The sequence below is a fragment of the Homo sapiens genome, chromosome 18 (assembly GCF_000001405.40).
Source record: "Homo sapiens chromosome 18, GRCh38.p14 Primary Assembly".
Lineage (NCBI taxonomy): Eukaryota > Metazoa > Chordata > Mammalia > Primates > Hominidae > Homo > Homo sapiens.
In genome coordinates this window covers 11,856,858-11,876,298 of record NC_000018.10, presented here as the reverse complement: position 1 = coordinate 11,876,298, position 19,441 = coordinate 11,856,858, and the positions used below count along the sequence as shown (strand labels likewise).

General features: G+C 47.3%; 1 protein-coding gene and 1 long non-coding RNA gene across 6 annotated transcripts in view, besides 4 other annotated features; one reads left to right on the top strand and one right to left on the bottom strand.

Annotated features, from left to right (window-relative positions):
• GNAL (G protein subunit alpha L) overlaps positions 1–19,441 on the bottom strand; it is a 196,422-nt gene that overhangs the window by 9,387 nt on the left and 167,594 nt on the right. For 4 of the 5 annotated variants that reach the window (NM_182978.4, NM_001261443.2, NM_001142339.3 and 1 more), the window contains 5 exons: positions 13,850–13,904; positions 11,693–11,766; positions 9,073–9,131; positions 7,636–7,756; positions 3,901–4,031 (listed from right to left, as the gene is read on the bottom strand). In NM_182978.4, coding sequence (NP_892023.1) covers positions 3,901–4,031; positions 7,636–7,756; positions 9,073–9,131; positions 11,693–11,766; positions 13,850–13,904 — 440 coding nt within the window. Of the gene's footprint in view, positions 1–3,900; positions 4,032–7,635; positions 7,757–9,072; positions 9,132–11,692; positions 11,767–13,849; positions 13,905–18,513; positions 18,547–19,441 lie in introns of those variants that run through there. The other variant, NM_001261444.2, reaches the window with a different exon arrangement.
• Positions 497–708: a silencer, noted in NCBI's record as "fragment chr18:11875590-11875801 (GRCh37/hg19 assembly coordinates)". NCBI's record gives its function as "represses an EF-1alpha promoter that drives an FKBP-Casp9 reporter gene in an ReSE screen in HepG2 liver carcinoma cells {active_cell/tissue: HepG2}" and the evidence as "EXISTENCE:reporter gene assay evidence [ECO:0000049][PMID:32094911]".
• Positions 14,048–14,954: an enhancer, noted in NCBI's record as "H3K27ac-H3K4me1 hESC enhancer chr18:11861344-11862250 (GRCh37/hg19 assembly coordinates)". NCBI's record gives its function as "activates a minimal SCP1, AML or CMV promoter by ChIP-STARR-seq in naive H9 embryonic stem cells {active_cell/tissue: H9 hESC(naive)}" and the evidence as "EXISTENCE:reporter gene assay evidence [ECO:0000049][PMID:30033119]".
• On the top strand, positions 15,788–19,138 carry LOC124904251 (uncharacterized). Its single transcript, XR_007066297.1, has 2 exons — positions 15,788–16,955; positions 18,173–19,138. It is a non-coding gene; the product is annotated as an uncharacterized LOC124904251 (long non-coding RNA).
• Positions 18,237–19,436: an enhancer, noted in NCBI's record as "P300/CBP strongly-dependent group 1 enhancer chr18:11856862-11858061 (GRCh37/hg19 assembly coordinates)". NCBI's record gives its function as "activates an origin of replication core promoter dependent on BRD2, BRD4, P300/CBP, MED14 and CDK7 cofactors, with strong dependence on P300/CBP, by STARR-seq in HCT116 cells {active_cell/tissue: HCT116}" and the evidence as "EXISTENCE:reporter gene assay evidence [ECO:0000049][PMID:35650434]".
• Positions 18,672–19,229: an enhancer, noted in NCBI's record as "H3K27ac hESC enhancer chr18:11857069-11857626 (GRCh37/hg19 assembly coordinates)". NCBI's record gives its function as "activates a minimal SCP1, AML or CMV promoter by ChIP-STARR-seq in primed H9 embryonic stem cells {active_cell/tissue: H9 hESC(primed)}" and the evidence as "EXISTENCE:reporter gene assay evidence [ECO:0000049][PMID:30033119]".

Genomic DNA, 19,441 nt, shown 5'->3' with positions numbered 1-19,441 from the left:
GGTTTCACCATGTTGGCCAGTCTGGTCTCAGACTCCTGACTTCAGGGCCACCTTGGCCTCCCAAAGTGCTGGGATTACAAGCGTGAGTCACTGCGCCCAGCCAAACATGTAATTTTCATTGCCCTCTTCTCCTACATCATTTTAATAGTTATTGCTCTGATAAAACTTTTCTCTGGGGGTGCTATGGTCTCAATGTTTTTGTCTCCTCCAAATTCATATGTTGACTGCTAATCTCCAATGCAACAATATCAAGAGGGGCAGCCTTTGAGAGGTGATGAGGTCACGAGGGCTCCGCCTTCATGGATGGGATTATATCCTTGTAAGAGGCCTGAGAGAGACCCCTCACCCTCTCCACCATGTGAGGAGGAAATGAGACAGTGCCATCTATGAAGCAGAGAAACCCTTACCAGACACTGAATCGGCCGGTGTCTTAATCTTTGACATTTCAGCCTCCAGTACTGTGACTAATACATTTCTGTTGTTCATAAATTATCCAGCTGTGTTAGTCCATTCTTGCATTGCTATAAAGACATACCTGAGACTGGGTAATTTATAAAGAACAGAGGTTTAATTGGCTCATGGTTCTGCAGGCTGTACGGGAAGCACGATGCTGGTATCTGCTAGGCTTCTGGGGAGGCCTCAGGAAGCTTCCAATCATGGCAGAAGATGCACAGGGAGTGAGACATCTCACGTGGCCAGGGCAGGAGCGAGAGAGAGATGGGGGAGGTGCTACACCCTGTTAAATGACCTGCTGTTGCAGAACCCATTCACTATCTTGAAAACAGTGTCAAGAGGATGGTGCTAAACCATTCAAAAATGATCCATCCCCAAGATCCAGTCACCTCCCACCAGGCCCCACCTCAAACACTGGGGATTACAATTCCACAAAAGATTTGGTTAGGGACACAGATCTAAATCCTATCACCAGCCTAAGGTATTTTGTTACAGCAGCGCAAGCAAGACAGGCTGGGGTGGGGGAGAAATCCTACTGACCTGCCTGAGCCCCAGAGCTGCCCTCCCTGCAGAGCTGTTGGGAGAGGAAAGCTCGGAGCCTCCAGGCACAGGAGCTGGGCCCTGGCCTCCCTGGGGGCAGCACTGGCAGGGCCTCCATGGACTGCCTCTCAGCTTCCATCAGCCTCCTCTTCTGAGACTCCCCTTCCCTGTTCCTGCTCCCCACTCAGGCATGCGGAGCACCCAGATCACTATGGCCGACCCTCTAGCTCTAGGCCTTTCTGAGGCATTCTCCCCCGGAAGAGTCCACATTCATGTGGTCCTATCATTATTTTCTGTAACCCCACGAAATCTGAGATCTAGGCGACACAGCTGAGTGTTCTTACCACTCTCTGCCTTCTCTGTTGCAGGGTGTGTGAGGCTGTGAGGACACTTACTCACAGATTCATAGAAGGGAGGGTGCAGCACCCAGTGATGGGCAGGGGAGGGCGCAGCACCTGCTGTGGGGGGTGGGTGGGTGCAGCATCCAGTGAGGGAGGGAAGGGTGCAGCAACCGCTGTGGGTCTCTGCCTGGGCTGTGTTCTGGAGTGGCTGGGGAGCGCCCATGTCATTTATCTTGGCGGGGGTGGGGGTCACTGACATACTCTGGAATGCCCAGAGTGTCCGTGTACCATCTGAGGAGTTCTTTTTTTTTTTCTTGAGACTAAGTCTCACTCCGTCACCCAGGCTGGAGTGCTTTTTTTTTGTTTTTTTGAGACGGAGCCTTGTTCTGTCGCCCAGGCTGGAGTGCAGTGGCACGATCTTGGCTCACTGCAACCTCCGCCTCCTGGGTTCAAGTGATTCTCCTGCCTCAGCCTCCCGAGTAGCTGGGACTACAGGCGCACACCACCACGCCCAGCTAATTTACTTTTTAGACATTTACACAAATGCATTCACATGGTGTGTAGTTTTTGCTTTGATTCTTTCTGTCAGCACAATTACTGTGAGTTTAACCCATGCCGTCACATGGACCAACTGTTAGTTCCTTTTAATTGCTAAGTGAGAGTTGACGTTGGAGTTGATGGTGGTCCCAGGCTTCCAGCAGGTGCTGCAGATGCTCAGGGATGGGTGAGTCTCTTGGGAGAGGCAGGGCACAGATGGAGATGACGCATGCTGCTGGGTGAAGAGCAGTCACTGGGCCTGGCACCGAGGCAGCAAGCCAGGGTCCCCTCAGCCCCTGGACGGAAGCCCTTCAGCACCCGCGGCTGGGCAGGTGGCCTTGGCTGTCAGCCAGTGGTGGTGCTTCTCCTTGGTGCTCCTAAGCAGGTAAGGTTGTGTCTCAGAAGGGTGACTTTGGTAGTTCACAGAATGTTCTGGAAAGGTGAGTGACCAGCTACAGGAGGTCAGGCAGGAAGCTGTGGCAGCTGCTGAGACGAGAGGAGTGAGGGCCTGGACCACAGCCATGAGGAGGGAAAGAGGGAAGGGCCTGGGGAGGCAGACCCTGTTGGAAGGACCCCCCGGCCGCCGAGCCACTGCCTGAGCTGAGTGACAGGAGGTGGCAAGAGGCGGTTAGCGGGAGAATTAAAGACCCAGCTTGCTGGGAAACTGGCAATGCCAGCCACAGAAAGCGCAGCAGAAGCCATGCTCTGATGATGTGCCATGGGCAAGCGGCACCCGGCCTCAGTCCTGGAAAGCACATCATCAGGCTGCGGGTAGAGCAAGGCAGTGATGAACTGCAATGAGATTTCCACTTGATTTGGTCTCAGGAAGAGCCTGGACCTTGACCTCACGCTGAGTGACCCTCTGGCGGGTGCGGAGACTGCTGGTGGCTCATGAAAGCAGCTGGGTCTGGTGAGACCACAGGCAGAGCTGGTGCTCAGGCCCATTTCCAATGTCTATTATTTATTCCTATAAGGAAATATGTAGCAGTAGGAATTTTTTTCGGGTCTTTATGACACAGGTGATAGCAGTAGGATTTTGTTGGAAGGCCCCACAAGGGTCAGGATTTTACTATGAATATACTTATATAATGCCTCTCCCATGAGGGAGAAAAGAACATTGAACATAAGGAGCAAAAAAGTTTAATGACAAATGCAAGTTTTCTTTTCCCTCTTCATTGAGGATAAAAAATAAATTTTCCAAATCTTAACTATATTTTCCAGGAAAGTGTCTTTTATTCTGCGTTTTCTAGTTTGGAATTCAAGATGTAAGAAGCGGTGTTATTTCACCTTAAATCACTCCTATGAGCCTCTGGTAGACCTGGTGTTCACTGGAAACTGAAGTGTAAGCGACTGGAAACGGAGTGACCAACTCTTCCTGGTCTACCTTCCCAGCTTTAGCACTGACGGTCCCGTGCCCCGGAAACCCCTCAGTCTCAGGTGGCCTGGGATGGCTGCTGGCCCTGCTGGAAATCCCCAAGGCTGCAGCCACAGCAAGGCTAGAGACAGGAGCAGATAAGCGCGGCTGCTGCCAGCATGGGCTTGGGGACAAAGGGTGCAAGGACTGCCTTGCCTGCATGACTCTACCCGTGTGGCTTTGAACACGCTATCTCTCCTCTCTCAGACTCTCTTTCCACGGGAAAAAATAATAGAAACTACCATGCAGGGTCATCTGAGGGTGAAGTGAGAAGGTCTGTATCAAGGACTAACAAGGCACCTGTCATGTCACACCCAGCCAAAGGCACTAGAGGGAGAGCTCATACCAGCATGACACAGTCACATCCCAAAATGGCTCTTTCTTCTGCTGCACGGTTTCAATGGAAAGTCAAACTCGGAAACATTTACAAATGGGATCCGATTACAAATAGGACCTTGTAACACTCTAATACTTTAGGATATGGGCAGTAGAAAGAAAATTGATTTAAATAAAGTGAATTTCTTTGATTCATCAGAGGTATGTGAATTAGAGTTACAGGACTATTAATAAAACAATTCTATTCCTCAATCATAAGAATGTGTTTTGAAATCTTACCGTCTTCAGGAACAGTATAATTTGCATATTCTGGGAAATAGTCTTCAATTTTTGATTTCCCTGCCAAGACTTTTTCTGCCAGCATATCTTGTTTGTTCAAGAACAAGATGATAGAAATGGTCCGTAACCACCTAAAAAAGGAAAAATAAACATACAAATTTCACATACACTAGTACATGAAAGTGCCTCTAACATAGAAGTTGCTAAATTAAAAGAATACCATCGTCTTCCTAAAAATGTATAGGATTCAAGAAAGTTCAGTACACCAGTATCCTCATTCCATCTGTAAAGAATGATAAACAAATATAGGTACAGGTTGAGCATCCCTAATCCAAAAACACAAAATCCAAAATGCTTCAAAATCCAAAACTTTTTCAGCACTGACATGATGCTCGAAGGAAATGCTTGTCGGAGCATTTGACACTTTGCATTTTCATATTAGGGATGCTGGACTAGTAAGTATAATGCAACTATTCCAAAAAACAACAACAACAAGAAATCTTAAACACTTTTGGTCCCAAGCATTTCGGATAAGGGATACTCAATCTGTAGTTAAGCACTTTCTAATTCAGTCCCATGGGGGATATAGATTTATTGGAACCAAAGCTAAGATTTACTTATGTAATGAGTTCACTTGAATTTCTGTGGTGTAATTTACCAATAAAAGGTCGGAAAACTCACATTAGAAGTGAAAGTGTTAACAACAACAAAGTAATATATGACTCATTAGCTAATAACACAGAGCTTAACATGCAGCTGGCTTGGTTCTTCTTCCGCCTCCATCACTTCAAAGGAATCAAGCTAACTGATTAGTCTACAGGAATCTTACTATCAATTAATAACACAATTTGGCCACGTGTGGTGGCTCACGCCTGTAATCCCAGCACTTTGTGGGGCAGAGGTGGGCAGATCACGAGGTCAGGAGTTCGAGACCAGCCTGACCAACACTGTGAAACCCTGTCTCTACTAAAAATACAAAAAGTAGCTGGGCGTGGTGGCACGTGCCTGCAGTCCCAGCTACTCGGGAGGCTGAGGCAGGAGAATCGCTTGAACTGGGGAGGTGGAGGTTGTGGTGAGCTGAGATTGCACCACTGCACTCCAGCCTGGGGGACAGAGCGAGACTCTGTCTCAAAAAAAAAAAAAAAGAAAGAAAAACCCACACACACAATCCACTTTCCCGTCAAATGGAAATAGCTTACCTGCTTCTTCTAGTAATAAAATATATAACCTTTGTAAAAACAAATCTTATAGAAAAACATACAGAAAAAAATCAAATGTAATTATACCCAGAAACAATTACTACAGAAATTTTATGTTTTCATGCCCAAGTTTTTTTCTGTCCTCACACATACTTAAAAACGAGATCATAGTGTTTTAAAATCAGCTTTTTCCTATAAGAAGATTGTGGTCATTTTCCCACTTACACATATAGTGTTTATAAATAAATTCATAATAACTCTATAGTATCCTTCTGTATACCTGGTATTTCCTGACCCTGTTTCTTTCCTATTAACAGTCTTATTACCACAAATTTGAGGATGGTTGTTGAACATTTCATACAAAAACACTTTTCTGATAATCCAAAACTTTTATAAGGTAAACTTATGTTTCCTCTCCTCCTTGGTAATATTTCTTCCAAAATATTTCAGAAGAAACTTTGATTTCTAACTATATATGTATGTATTGTGTGTGTGCGCGCTAAATATTCCTTTCTGAAATAATCACTTCTGCCAATCTGCAATGCTAGTAGTTTCAAACATGATTATGTGGTGATTGTGAGCTGTAAGGGATCTTAGAGATCATCTAGTTATTAGTGGATGTCCTAAACTGGTACTTTATTTATTTTCAAAATTAAAAAAATTTTTTTTTTTACTTTTTGAGACAGAGTCTCACTCTGTTGCCCAGGCTGGAGTTCAGTGGTGCGATCTCAGCTCGCTGCAACCTCCACCTCCCGGGTTCAAGCGATTCTCCTGCCTCAGCCTCCCGAGTAGCTGGGATTACAGGCGCCCACCACCACTCCTGGCTAATTTTTGTAGTTTTAGTAGAGACGGGGTTTCGCCATATTGGCCAGGTTGGTCTCGAACTCCTGATCTCAGGTGATCTTCCTGCCTTGGCCTCCCAAAGTGCTGGGATTACAGGCATGAGCCACTGTTCCCGGCCCCTAAACTGGTACTTCCTAAAATTTAAAAACCAAACAAAACCTATTTTGAACCCTAGATATAGAGTCATCCCTTGATACCCGTGGGGGATTGGTCTAGGACTCCCTGTGAAAACCAAAATTTGAGGAGGCTCCCTTATATGAAATGGTGTAGTATTTGCATATAAACCATGCACATCCTCCCGTATGCTTAAATCATCTCCAATTACCTAAAATACCTAACACGATGTAAAAGCTAGGTAAGTAGTTGTTATACTGTATTGTTTATTTGTATTATTTTTAGTCAATTTTTTTATTTGCTCAATTTTTTATTTTAATTAATTACGTTTTTTGAGACACAGTCTCCCTCTGTCGCCCAGACTGACGTGCAGTGATGCAATCGCAGCTTACTGTAACCTCCGCCTCCTGGGCTCAAGTGATCCTCCTGCCTCAGCTTCCCAAGTAGCTGGGACTACAAGCGCGCCCCACCATGCCTAATTTTTGTATTTTTTGTAGAGACAGGGTTTCAACATGTTGCCCAGACTGGTCTCCAATTCCTGAGCTCAAGCAATTCCCCCGTCTCAGCCTCCCAAAGTGCTGGGATTATAGGCGTATGCCACTGTAATCTTGTATTATTTTTTGTTGTTGTACTGCTATCTTAAATTTATTTTTGAATATTTTCAATCTGTGGTTGGTTGAATCCGCAGATGTGGAACCTGAAGATATGGAAGGCCGAATATAATCTTAGCCTTTCAAAACAGAGACTTAAATTTTCTTGACAAAGAACTATCAGAACTTCATCAAAGAATACTCCACATTGGCCGGGTGCGGTGGCTCACGCCTGTAATCCCAGCACTTTGGGAGGCCGAGGTGGGTGGATCACGAGGTCAGGAGATCAAGACCATCCTGGCTAACATGGTGAAACCCGGTCTCTACTAAAAATACAAAATATTAGCTGGGTGTGGTGGAGGGCGCCTGTAGTCCCAGCTACTCAGGAGGCTGAGGAAGGAGAATGGCATGAACCCGGGAGGTGGAGCTTGCAGTGGGCCGAGATGGCGCCACTGCACTCCAGCCTGGGTGACACAGCGAGACTCTATCTCAAAATAAAAAAAAAATAATAAAAAAAAATATTCCACATTTTAAGTATATCTATACAATAGATGAACTAAAAGAGATACTTCGTACGGTTCTGGATTTATCAGTAAAGAGAGTGTGTGGGTGTGTGGGTGTGGGTGTAGGTATGTGTGTGTGTTTTGAGACAAGGTCTTGCTCTGTTGCCCAGGCAGGAGTGCAGTAGTGTGATCTCAGCTCATTGCAACCCTTACCTCCTGGGCTCAAGTGATCCCCCTACCTCAAGCTCCTGAGTCACTGGGCAGGTGTGCACCACCACACCTGGCTAATTTTTGTATTTTTTGTAGAGACAGGGTTTCTCCATGTTGCCCAGGCTAGTCTCCAACTGCTGAGCTCAAGTGACACACCTGCCTCGGCCTCCCAGTGTTGAGATTACAGGTGTGAGCCACAACGCCTGGCCTGAGCGTATTTTTAACAAAAGAAAATTTGCAATCCAATGGTAAGACTGAATTTGCTATTTTTGTCACCTGTTGTTCCAGATGCTTTCAAAAAGATCCAGGGACTCTCTCAGCCTGTTGGTGTTGTTATCTTCTCGAATCACCATGTTGTAGCTACTGCAGGCTGCGACGTAAATGATAGCTGTGACATCTTGGTGGGGAGAAAAAGGAAAGCACCTCAGTTAGACATCCTCACTGTGGAGTTACAAGAAAGTACACACCCAGCAGCTACTCAGTTCCACAAAAACATTCATTCAGTGATAGGACTATTCAGTCACAGAACAGCCTGCAGGTGCGCCGCGCACCACTGGTTGCTTCAGTAACGCACTTGATGAAGAGCCCACCCCAAAAGACACATGTAAATTTGGGATGCTTAAGTGCTTTTTTTTTTTTGAGATGGAGTTTCACTCTTGTCTCCCAGGCTGGAGTGCAATGGCATGATCTTGGCTCACTGCAACTTCCGCCTCCCAGGTTCAAGTGATTCTCCTGCCTCAGCCTCCCTAGTAGCTAGGATTATAGGCATGTGTCACCACACCTGGCTAATTTTTGTATTTTTGTATTTTCTTCCGAGACAGAGTTTCACTCTTGTTGCCCAGGCTGGAGTGCAATGGCGCAATCTTGGCTCACTGCAACCTCTGCCTCCCGGGTTCAGGTGATTCTCCTGCCTCAGCCTCCCGAGTAGCTGGGATTAAAGGTGTGCGCCATAACACCCGGCTAATTTTTGCATTTTTAGTAGAGACGGGGTTTCACTATGTTGGTCAGGCTGATCTTGAACTCCTGACCTCAGGTGATCCACCCACCCCAGCCTCCCAAAGTGCTGGGATTACAGGCATGAGCCACCACACCCGGCTAATTTTTTTATTATTATTATTTTTTTTTGACAGAGTCTCGCTCTTTTGCCCAGGCCGGACTGCTGCAGTGGTGCGATCTCAGCTCACTGCAAGCTCTGCCTCCCAGGTTCACGCCATTCTCCTGCCTCAGCCTCCTGAGTAGCTGGGACTACAGGCACCCACCACCGCACCCGGCTAATTTTTTGTATTTTTAGTACAGACGGGGTTTCACCTCGTTAGCCAGGATGGTCTCGATCTCCTGACCTCGTGATCTGCCCGCCTCGGCCTCCCAAAGTGCTGGGATTACAGGTATGAGCCACCACGCCCGGCCTAATTTTTGTATTTTTAACAGAGCCCCAGTTTCGACATGTTGGCCAGGCTGGTCTCGAACTCCTGACTTCAGGTTATCCGCCCTCCTTGGCCTCCCAAGGTGCTGGGATTACGGGCGTGAGCCACCGTGTCAGGCCCTTAAATGCTTTTTTTAATGAGATTAGTATCTAAGGAAGGAGCATCATAATCTATAAATGCTATACTTTACATATTAGTTAGAGATTATCTAATTCAAGAATAGTTAAGCACAGCAGTGCTGAGTGTTAGAATTCACTCCTATTTTCTTGAGAGAGCATAAAAAAATCACCGTTAAAGCACTGGATCCATTTTCTCCTCTCATCCCTCTGGCCACCAACATCAAACATGCTGTGGAAGAGCAAGAGGAACACAATTATTTGGGGGAAGCAGGGGACAATGGCAAACGTGCTTGCTTTCCTCTTTTGCTATCAGCAGGTTCCAGCGTTCACACATGGGTCTTGAGTCAAGCTCGGGTCACTGGCCTGCACCATCACTCCCTGTGTGATCCTGGACTGCAAGTGGCTCCACCTCTCTCAGCCGCAGTCCCTCCTCAGTCACCCCACAGTGGGGCTACAGGGGTGACAGATCAAGCAGACAGCAGCCGGCAGTGTCTGAGGTCCCACAGTAGGTCCTTAATAAATCCAGTGGTTACTAGCTCAGTAATGCTAGAGGTTACCTGCTCAGACACTCAGGCCTCTCTGAGTACAGGCTAAGTCACTGCCCAGGGCAGATCCTTCCTGTGATTTGTTCCAGCTCTCAGGACACTGTGTCTTCCCTCCCATGGAGAATTGAGAAAGGCTCCTTGCTGATCTGTCTACACTACATGCATCTTATCTCTAGCCACCTCTGCCTGGTGACCTGCACTGGGTCTTGATCACGCCTGGATTCAGTGCAGGCTGCTCTGCCCAGCCCGAGCTGCTTCCCGGTCTCGCTCAGCCAAGGCGACCTCAGCCAGTTCTCTCAGAGTTTCTCAGCTGCACCCTGCACTTCATCAGGCCGGCCCAGGCCCCTCTTCTCACAGCCCCTGCTCAGCGCATAAGGCGTTTCTCCCTGGGAGAGTTTCTACCTACCCAGATTCTGCTGGATGTTTCCAACCTTCGCAGGCTTCCCTGCCTCTGAGATTTCTCCCCTCCCTAAACATAATGCATGTGCCTTAGGACCACACGGGCTAGATTTTTTTGTCCTGGGCGGGTATGTTGCTGATCCTATTAGAATTTAATCCGTACGCTTTACATTAGCACACGTGGGGCACGCTGAGATACTTGATGAAAATGGATGAGCTGATGAGCAGAATCCTTTCAAACAAAATCACAGATGTGAGATACAGCTTCATTGTTAGTAATTCCACTATGCCAGGGACTTGGTTATGATGTGGGCAAAACCACAAGTCACGCCAACTCCATACTGCACTGTGCGCCTCCCAGCAGAGAGATGTAGCTGGCTTTTATCCAGCCTGACAGTGGCCATGTGAAGGGTTCTTGGGAAATCTGGAAGTAGGTGTCTGTCACCTGTGCACTGAGGAGGGCGCTGGGCACTGCAGGAGTCTCAGAACACACTGGAGATCATGAAACTCTTGCTTTAAGGGACCTCACCCTTGAGGTCCCTTAGAGTCGAGTCAGACATGCTGAGGGTGACTGGGCAAGGTAAAGGGCAGTATACCATCAATGGCTGCATAGTAGATATGCAATGGGAATTCTAAGGGGTCACCATGGGCTGAGATTTGAGGGATGCTTGGATGCTTTTTTTTTTTTTTTTTTTTTAGAGACAGGGTCTTACTCTGTCACCCAGGCTGGAGTGAAATGGCCTAATCATGGCCCACTGCAGCCTTGAATTCCTGGGCTTAAGAGATCCTCCCACCTCAGCCTCCTGAGTAGCTAGGACCACAGGTGTATGCCATCAAGCTTGGCTAATTTTTTTTTTTTTTTTTTGGTAGAGACAGGGTCTTGCTATGTTGCCCAGGCTGGTCTTGAACACCCGGTCTCAAGCAATCCTACTGCCTTTGCCTCCCAAAGTGCTGAGATTACAGGCGTGAATCACTATGCCTGGCCTGAAGGAAGCTTTGATAGATTTGTGGGGTTTGCTTAGCACAGGTGGCATCTGAGGCTCAGAGGACAAGATGAACAGAAGCGCTACGGCAGGAAAAGCTGGGAGAACTGGAAGGGTCCTGACAACAGCCCAGCCTGGTGAGGCAGGTGGCAGGGGACAAAGCAGGCCTGGGGACGGGGCTGGTCATAGGCAGAGGGCTTGGGTCATACGGTGCACAAGCAGTAGTGAGCCCCGAACCTTCTTCAGCAGAGGAACAGCACGATCCAGGCCGTGCCGTAGGAAGATTCATTTCGTGGCACTGAGAAGGGCGACTGAAATGGGTAAGCCAGGGGACAGGAGACAAGCCAGGGCTGTGCCGAGAGAGTCTAGGGGCGGGGGAAGTGATGGAGCAGGACTAGGGTGATAGCTATGAGGATGGAAAAGAGCTTTGTGGAGGGAGAATTAATGTCTTATCATGAGGGAGCAAAATGAAGAAAGTAAGCTCATTTGGCTGAGTTTGCAGTTGGGCAACCCAAGAGATGGGCTGGAGACACACATAAACTGCTCATTTCAGTTCTCAACCTGTGACTGTGCATCTGAAAGATCAAAATTTCATGAGTCTCCTGATCTAAAAAAAAGGGCCAATCAAATCAACAACTCAGATGCAAACACTGCCTTCCTTTCAGGTGTCCTCATTTCTACTTTAAAGTAGGCAGTAAAATCAACACTTCAACTCTTGCTAGAGTTCAAATTTCACCCCAGCTGCTCTTACCTGAAAGGGCTGCCATGCACATTCAGGAATGAAGCCCCCTTAAACCTCACAGCCCTTCGGCTCTGGGACATCATGTGGCCCTGGGCCATGCAGCTCTTAACAACATACTCACTGGAAGTTTACTTTGTCCACTTGGAATCGTGTCTCAAAAATCCCAGATGTCAGAACTCTGCATCTGAGGAGGTCCTGGGAACAAGAAGAGGGAAACAAGCTGAGTTACATTACTGTTCTTCTTCAAGGTAAAGCCCGGGTATAACTATACCTCATCAATATTTTTCAAATAATTTGTTCCACTGTAAAGGAAACAACAATTAAGAACCAACATTGGCCGAGCATGGTGACTCACGCCTGTAATCCCAGCACTTTGGGAGGCTGAGGTGGGCAGATCACCTGAGGTCAGGAGTTGAGACCAGCCTGGCCAACACGGTGAAACCCTATCTCTACTAAAAATACAAAAAAACCAAATTAGCCAGGTGTGGTCACAGGCAGCTGTAATCCCAGCTACTTGGGAAGCTGAGGCAGGAGAATCGCTTGAACCCAAGAGGCAGAAGTTGCAGGGAGCTGAGATCGCGCCATTGCATTCCAGCCTGGGTGACGAGTGAGACTCCGTCTCAAAAAAAAAAAAAAAAAAAGAACTCAGACGAATGTTCTCTGTTTTATCCTCCAGAGAAAGCCACAGTTAATGTGTTGGTTTGGCCCCAAGAGACCTGATAACTGTGCTTTTGTTTTAAGACTTAAAATCATGTCTGCAAGAATCTTACTAACATATACCTGACAACCACAGTCAGGGCATCAGCATTCCAGAGGGACATCCCTGCTGGTGCTCTGTTGGCTTGGGTGAAACTCACGATGGCTTGGGTGAGAAACCAAAGGAAGTGTAACTCTGCACTCACAAGTCTTCAGCCTTATGAACTGGATGCTAGTTGATTTCATTTATTCTCTCTTCCCTGCACATTTCTGTTTCCTCCAAGATAAAAGATGTGGTACCCCGAGGGGACGAGAAAGCCACGCAGCCTCACAAAGCTGGCATCCCTGGTACATTTGGCAGATGTCAGAGTTTTTTTTTTTCCTGACCCCCAAATCCATGTGATTTTAAGGAAGCAGCCATTCTGTAATAATTCTGGAACATGGGAGGTGGTCCTCCCATTTTAGTATAACGAGAACTGTTTAGGACAGGTAAGTTAGTTGAGGGACTGACTCAAGACGAGGAAGCCTCCATTGCTTTGTCAGATAATTTCAAACTCTCAGGATCAGCCTTAGAGAGGATAAACTTCATGGGAGAGAGAGAAGCTCAGGCCTCAGACCTCCCACCTTGGGGGCCCAGGGCCAAGGCCTTGCAGGGAATACAGACTCTGGGGGAAGTTTGGAGAGTGTGGTTTGAACAGAGACATCCCTCTAACTTCCTTGGGGTTCACTGGCTCTAGAAGCACCTGAAGTCTCCTGAATTGAGCAATCCGGGGGCTCTCCAAGTCTCTGCAGCTGCCCGAGGGTCGAAGGGGCACAAAGATTCCCTCTCTGCTATTTAAGAATTGGTGGAGTGGGCTGGGCACGGTGGCTCACGCCTGTAATCCCAGCATTTTGGGAGGCCAAGGCAGGTGTATCACTTGAGGTCAGGAGTTTGAGACCAGTCTGGCCAACATGGCAAAACCCTGTCTCCACTAAAAATACAAAAATTAGCTGGGCGAGGTGGCAAGCACCTGTAATCCCAGCTACTTGGAAGGCTGAGGCAGGAGAATCGCTTGAACTTGGGAGGCAGAGGTTGCAGTGAGCAGAGATTGCAACATAGCACTCCAGTCTGGGCGACAGAGCAAGACTCCATTTCAAAAAAAAAAAAAAAATGGTGGAGTGCTTTTTTTTTGACTCAACCCAAAGGGGATGCTCTGGGTCACACCTGGAAAGTTCACTGTGATATGGGACCCCCCAGGCCCAGGGCCACAAACAGAATGGGCATAGTTTATGAAGCCAGGAAGTAAAGACTTCGCTTTCCTGAGGACAGCTCCAGGAGGAAAAGGAACGGCATATTCCTTATCTGCAGATAAACTCATTTGCATGCTGGCAATTTTGATAATCACTAAGTGCTAGAGTCAGGGGAGCAAGGCACAAGGTTTGATGACCAATCCACGCACACACACAGGGCAGTACAAACAATTTGCAAAAAGTAGGTATCTTAAGGATTTTTCCTTAATTCATTCTGAAATAATCATTAAATCATATTGGAAATGAATCTCAAAGTTTCTGGTGTGTGGTGGGGGACCCTAATTCCACATACCTGGTCTGTGGGTGTGTAGTCAACCAAGCTGACGCTGTCGATTCTTTCCAGGAAGCTGCAAAGAAAGCCAGCAAGGGTTGAGGCCTGTTCTCTGCCCACTTTCCCCTGGGGTTGGGGAGAAATTAATGGGACATCACCCAAGTACAGCAAGGATGGGGGCAGGCCAAGAAGCTGAAGTGAGTTCTTACTTTGTTTCCTGAATTTGTATCTGTCTAGATAATGCAACATTCTTGACCCAGGGAGGGAGAACTGCATTCTTTTTTTTTCTTTTTTTTAATGTTGCCTTCTCTCCCCTCTCTTCTCCACTGCCACAGCGCTGGGGGTGGGAGCTACTCAGAAACTGGGAGAGAGCATGGAGCCTCCCGTCCAAGGCTAAGCGAGTACAAGAATGTGTTGCAATGTAAACAAAACATGGAAGGTGACAGATGTCCCTTTAGTTTCCTAATCAAATCCAGATGTTGTGTGTGTGTGTGTGTGTGTGTGTGTATGACTGCGTGAATATGTGTAAGAGCGACTGAGTGTGGAGAGCGAGTATGTGGTGTGCAAGAGTAAATGTGTAAAAGTGTAAGGGTGAGTGTGAGAGTATGTGCGGAAAGTGTGCGAGAGCGAGAACGTGAGTGTGCATATTTGAGTGTGTGTGCTGGCAAACCTGGCGACGCCTGTTGGTGTCAGATCTGCCTGGCGCCCACTGTGTCCCACACAAGGCAGGATGGGAGCCAAGGAAGGCTGTGCGCCGCTCTTGGGTGATGACCCTTCCGAGAGGGAGCTGGGAGGCCGCCGAGCTCCCTCTCCTGAGTGACCACGGCCCCTGCACAGGCCTCCCCCGCCCTCTCTGTGCCAGCCTGGCTTTACCAAGGCATCTATCCAGGCTGCACGTTTCCCACTGACTCTTGGTTGATCTGTTGTTATTTATCTTCTCCACTAACATGTTAGGCCCTCAGGGCAGGTCTCTGTCTTGTCCACCTGGGAGTCCCCAGCACCTAGTGCAGGCCTGGCCCCAGTAAATATGGTGGAATGAACCAGTGTCCTCTGTCCCCTTCTCCTTCCGCGGCTGGGACAGGTGACCATTGAGGGCTGAGAGGCTGGGTCCCTCGGGGACCAACAAGCACTGGGAATGGGTTAAATGGCAAGCAGGGGACAATTCTGGAGACAGAGGGGCAGCAGGGACCCTAGAAGGAAGAAGGAGAGCCAGCAGGAGGGAGGGGTCGGGGGGGCCCAGGCTCTCTGTTGGTGCTGGCGTTGACGGGAGGCCCTGGTACTGAGGAGAGAGGATGGACGGCCTGGAGGCTGCGCTGGCTCCCTGCCTGCCATGCCAGTTGGCTGGTTCTGTCCTTTGGTAGGTAGAGGCAGCAGACATGTGCCCATGAGCATTTCATGCAGAGGAGGCGATGTTGCCTCCCAATCTCCCCATCCTCCCACACCAGCTCCTCTGCAGGCGCCTGTGAACCTCAGTGTGGGCAAGAGGGAGACGAAACGGTTCAGAACACAAAACGCCACCCCACAATGAGCCCTTCAGCATGTTGACTAATTGTAGCTGAAGGCACTTGAGAAGCCTCAGCTGCAAGGCTGGCTGGCTGGCTGACCTCCCGCTCTGTCCCAAAAAGCAGGTCATGAAATCTTCCCTAAGAAACGTGCCTGCCCTGTACCAGGAAGAGGAGAATGTTCTTATCACCAGGGGTTCGGAGTCCACCCTGAAACTGATCTGTACAAACCCACCAAAATAACCCTTGTCTTTCATTAGTCACTGCCCCACAATGACTGCCCCTAGAAACTTGAACCTTTCTCCTGTGTCACTTCTCCATAAATTTATCATCTTTTGTTAAAAGGGTATATTAGCTCTCGGTCCTAACAGCTTCTTTGGGTCTTCATTTTTCTTATGAAAGTTCCCGTGTGCATGTAAAAATATTAAATAAAATGTGTATGCTTTCCTCCTGTTAATCCGTCTTTGTTAGTTCACTCAGCTACAGAACCTAATGGGAAAGAGGGAAGTTCTTTTTCCTTCCCTACAGAGGTCAAAAGGGGTCCATTTTAGGAACCACTTGGCCAAAGACAGTAAGACTACATAATTTCCTTGGACATCTTAACTCCTTCCTTTTGGAAAGCTAGAGACAGTCCCTAGTGGCCAAAACTGAGGCATGGCCATGGGATGACATTTTGGCAGCCTTCACCCATGAACTTGGGTTTGGCACCCCCAGGGCAAGTAACCCAGAAGCAGAATACACAAAGGGGCAGGAGTGGATCTGCTGGTGTTTGGGATGGCCTTTCATAGCGATAGGAAACAGTGGGGGCAACTGTGACCTCAACTGTCATGAATGAGTCATTTCCCTGGAAGCCAAGGGAAACAGGCTATGGGAGTGGTGTCTGTGACTGCATTGTCTGGTGTGCAGTCATTAAAGAATGTTAGCCAGGTGCAGTGGTGCACGCCTTTAATCCCAGCACTTTGGGAGGTGGAGGTGGGTGGATCGCCTGAGGTCAGGAGTTTGAGACCAACCTAGCCAACATTGTGAAACCCTGTCTCTACGAAAACTACAAAAATTAGCCAGGTGTGGTGGCACGCATGCCTGTAATCCCAGCTACTTGGGAGGCTGAGGCAGGAGAATCGCTTGAACCCGGGAGGCAGAGGTTGTAGTGAGCCGAGATCACACCACTGCACTCCAGCCTGGGCGATAGAGTGAGACTCCGTCTCAAAAAAAAAAAAAAGAATGTCAACTGCTCCTGGCTCTGCAGAGGTATGGCCCAGGTGACAGGGCTATTGAGAGGCCAAAGGGACCCTGATCAGCCAGTGGTGTCTTTGGAATAGGTGCTGCAAGCTCTGGGAGGTGCTACTGCGCACCAGAAGGTTGGTGAGTTGGCCAAGGGTGTGGAGCTGGCTCCAGAGGGGAAGGAACAAAGGGAAGGGACCCTCTGGGAGCTGGAGAGACTTGGGAGCCTGGAGGCAGGAATTCCCTGCCATTGCCTGAGGCCTGGTTTGGAAAGTACAATGCAGTTTTGGCATGGTGGTTGCTGGCCTGGAATGTGGTGGGGTGAAGAGCGTGGTGGAAGGACACACTGAGTTCCTGACCATCCAGCAACAAAGGAGCAAAAAGACCTTGGAATCCATGAGAAGGTAGGAGAAGTTTCTGCCGGGGTGGGACGGGAGCTCTGAACTGGGGCTGGACAGTCAGATGGGTTTCTGGGTGAGAAGGCTGCTTCCCTCACAGGCTACAACAGTTGTAATCAGAAATGGTCGCAACTTTTGACAGGGTCCAGAGCAAAGGATACAGAAATGAATTCGCTCTGATGAAAAGAGCTGGAAGGAACTGAAAATTAAATATGAAGCCTGTGGCTATAGTTAGAGTTTAGGAAGTAACCTATTTAAAATGGGATGCACATAGGTTGGAGGTAGGTGGTGAATGTATTCAGATGATAATAACTAGTCTAAGTAGAAAGAATGAAGTATGGTTAACCAAAAAATGCCTCTGGAGTGCTAGAGAGATGTGATGAGAGGACGTGTGAGTGCATCTTCCTGTGCACTATGAAAGACCAGTGACTTTGAGATGCTGACAGTGATGAGGCTGGTGGGTCTTCTCCTGTCGCCAACCTCCAAAATGGATATTCAGAGTCCTTCCAGCTCTGATTCTCAGAGATCTAAGTGAGACGTGGGAGGTCTCATTGAACATTTCCAAGAGCTGCTTCTGATTTGTTGCTGATGCTGAATGGTACCGAGTTCATGCATTTCAAGTTTGTGCAATGAAAATAAAATGTGAATATTCACCCCAAAATGTGAATATGCCCCCAATTCTTTGAAAGACTTTCTAAGGAATAAATAATAGAGTGGTAGATTTCTGCCAGCCTTCTGCCTTGATCCTTGTTTCAACTGGCATATTTCCAAGCATGTTGCAGGAGTACTTTTTCAAATTGGGGCTTCTGTGATTACATACATAGAGAGAATTTTAAAGGGGTCTCCCAAATCATACATAGAATTTTGCATATGATTACATTTTAAAGGGTTATAACATTGCCTCCTTAAATATGCCACTGCATGCTGACCAGAAGAATTAAGCAGATCTAAAAATCCCTTGCAGACTATTCACTCCAACTATTAGATGCAGAGGTGCAAAACTATACCAAATTAGCATTGTAAAAAATCACTTGCATTGTAGACACTATAAGGAAGTAGTTAAAAAGAAATTTACTCTGATTTTTTTTTCATTATTTCCTGTGACAGCTGAGGACACTCATGTTTGCAGAAATGTTTTCATTTTCATTTAGATCCCCCTTCTGTTTGATATTAGCAAAAGTAACAATGCACTGTTTATATCCCATCTGTTGTTGGCGTCAAAGAATTCTTATGGCCATGGAATTGATCATGAAGAGGAACAAGGAGAGTCATGAAAAGATGAAAACTATTCTGTTAAATGCCTTTGTAATCAAACTACTGGATCTGAGAAAAAAAGTACCAACTGAATTTCCATGTATTTAAAATTTTTTGTGTGTGAAAACATATAGCAATTGGAAATCTGTCAAGGCAAGTAAAAAACTTTTCCCAATGTTAATGAAATTTGACTCATGATATTTATCTACAAGACATAAAAATATAGATGGATCCCAGATACTCAGGAGGCTGAGGCAGCAGGATCACTGGAGCCCAGGAGTTCGTACTGGTGGAGAAAAACATTACTCACGTGGTGACAAAGTACCAGGCAGTTGTAATGCACAGCCAGAGTTAAGATTCCCTGCTCCTTAAAAGGGGTTCCCAGACTCGCAGCATATCGGCGTCACTGGCAGACCCACTGCGTCAGCATGTGCAGCTGAACCATGTCCCAGGTGATCAGTGATTCATGGTGACTCGTCATCCAAGAGCGTGTTCCTCTTGGCTTTCCCCACCTCCCTGCTTTATGCTCTAATCTCTGCCTGAACCATCATTTCTCATGACTCCTGCGCTTCCTCCTTCCCATGGGGTAAAGTCCACACTTTTAATGTGGCCTCCAGCCCTTTGCAGTCTGTCCAGTCTCCCCTTCAGTCTCTTTTAACATCACGTGAACCCTCCACTCCAGTCAAAACTCCCTGTAGTTTTTGGCCTCTCAGATCCTGTGTCATTCCTGCTTTTTTTCCCCCTTTGAAACCTGAGATTAAACCCTGCTGGCTCTGGGAAGCCACTTCTAACTGCCATGACACAGCACAATATCCCTTTCCTCCGGCACTTACTGTTTCACAATTTGGTGAGCATGGCATGCTGCCTTATACTGTGATTTAATCCTTTTTAAAGGTTGAGGTATAAAATAACATAAACTGTGTAAACAGTCCTGATCTTAAGTGTTCTTGATTTTTTTTTTTAACATCTGGGTACGCCTTGTCCATTTTTCTTTTTCTTTGTATGTTTTATCTACCTATCTGTACTGAATATCATTTAAGGGCAGAAGCATGTTCTCATCTCTAGAAAGAAGCCCCACATGGCATGCATGTTTTGGACTAAATCTTTCCCTGGATTGTCATTTAAAACGTTTTTAAATTTAAAAAACTATTTATTTTTATTTTTTTGAGACAGTCTCACTCTGTCACCCAGGCTGGAGTGCAGTGGCACAATCATGGCTCACAGCAACTTCCCCCTCC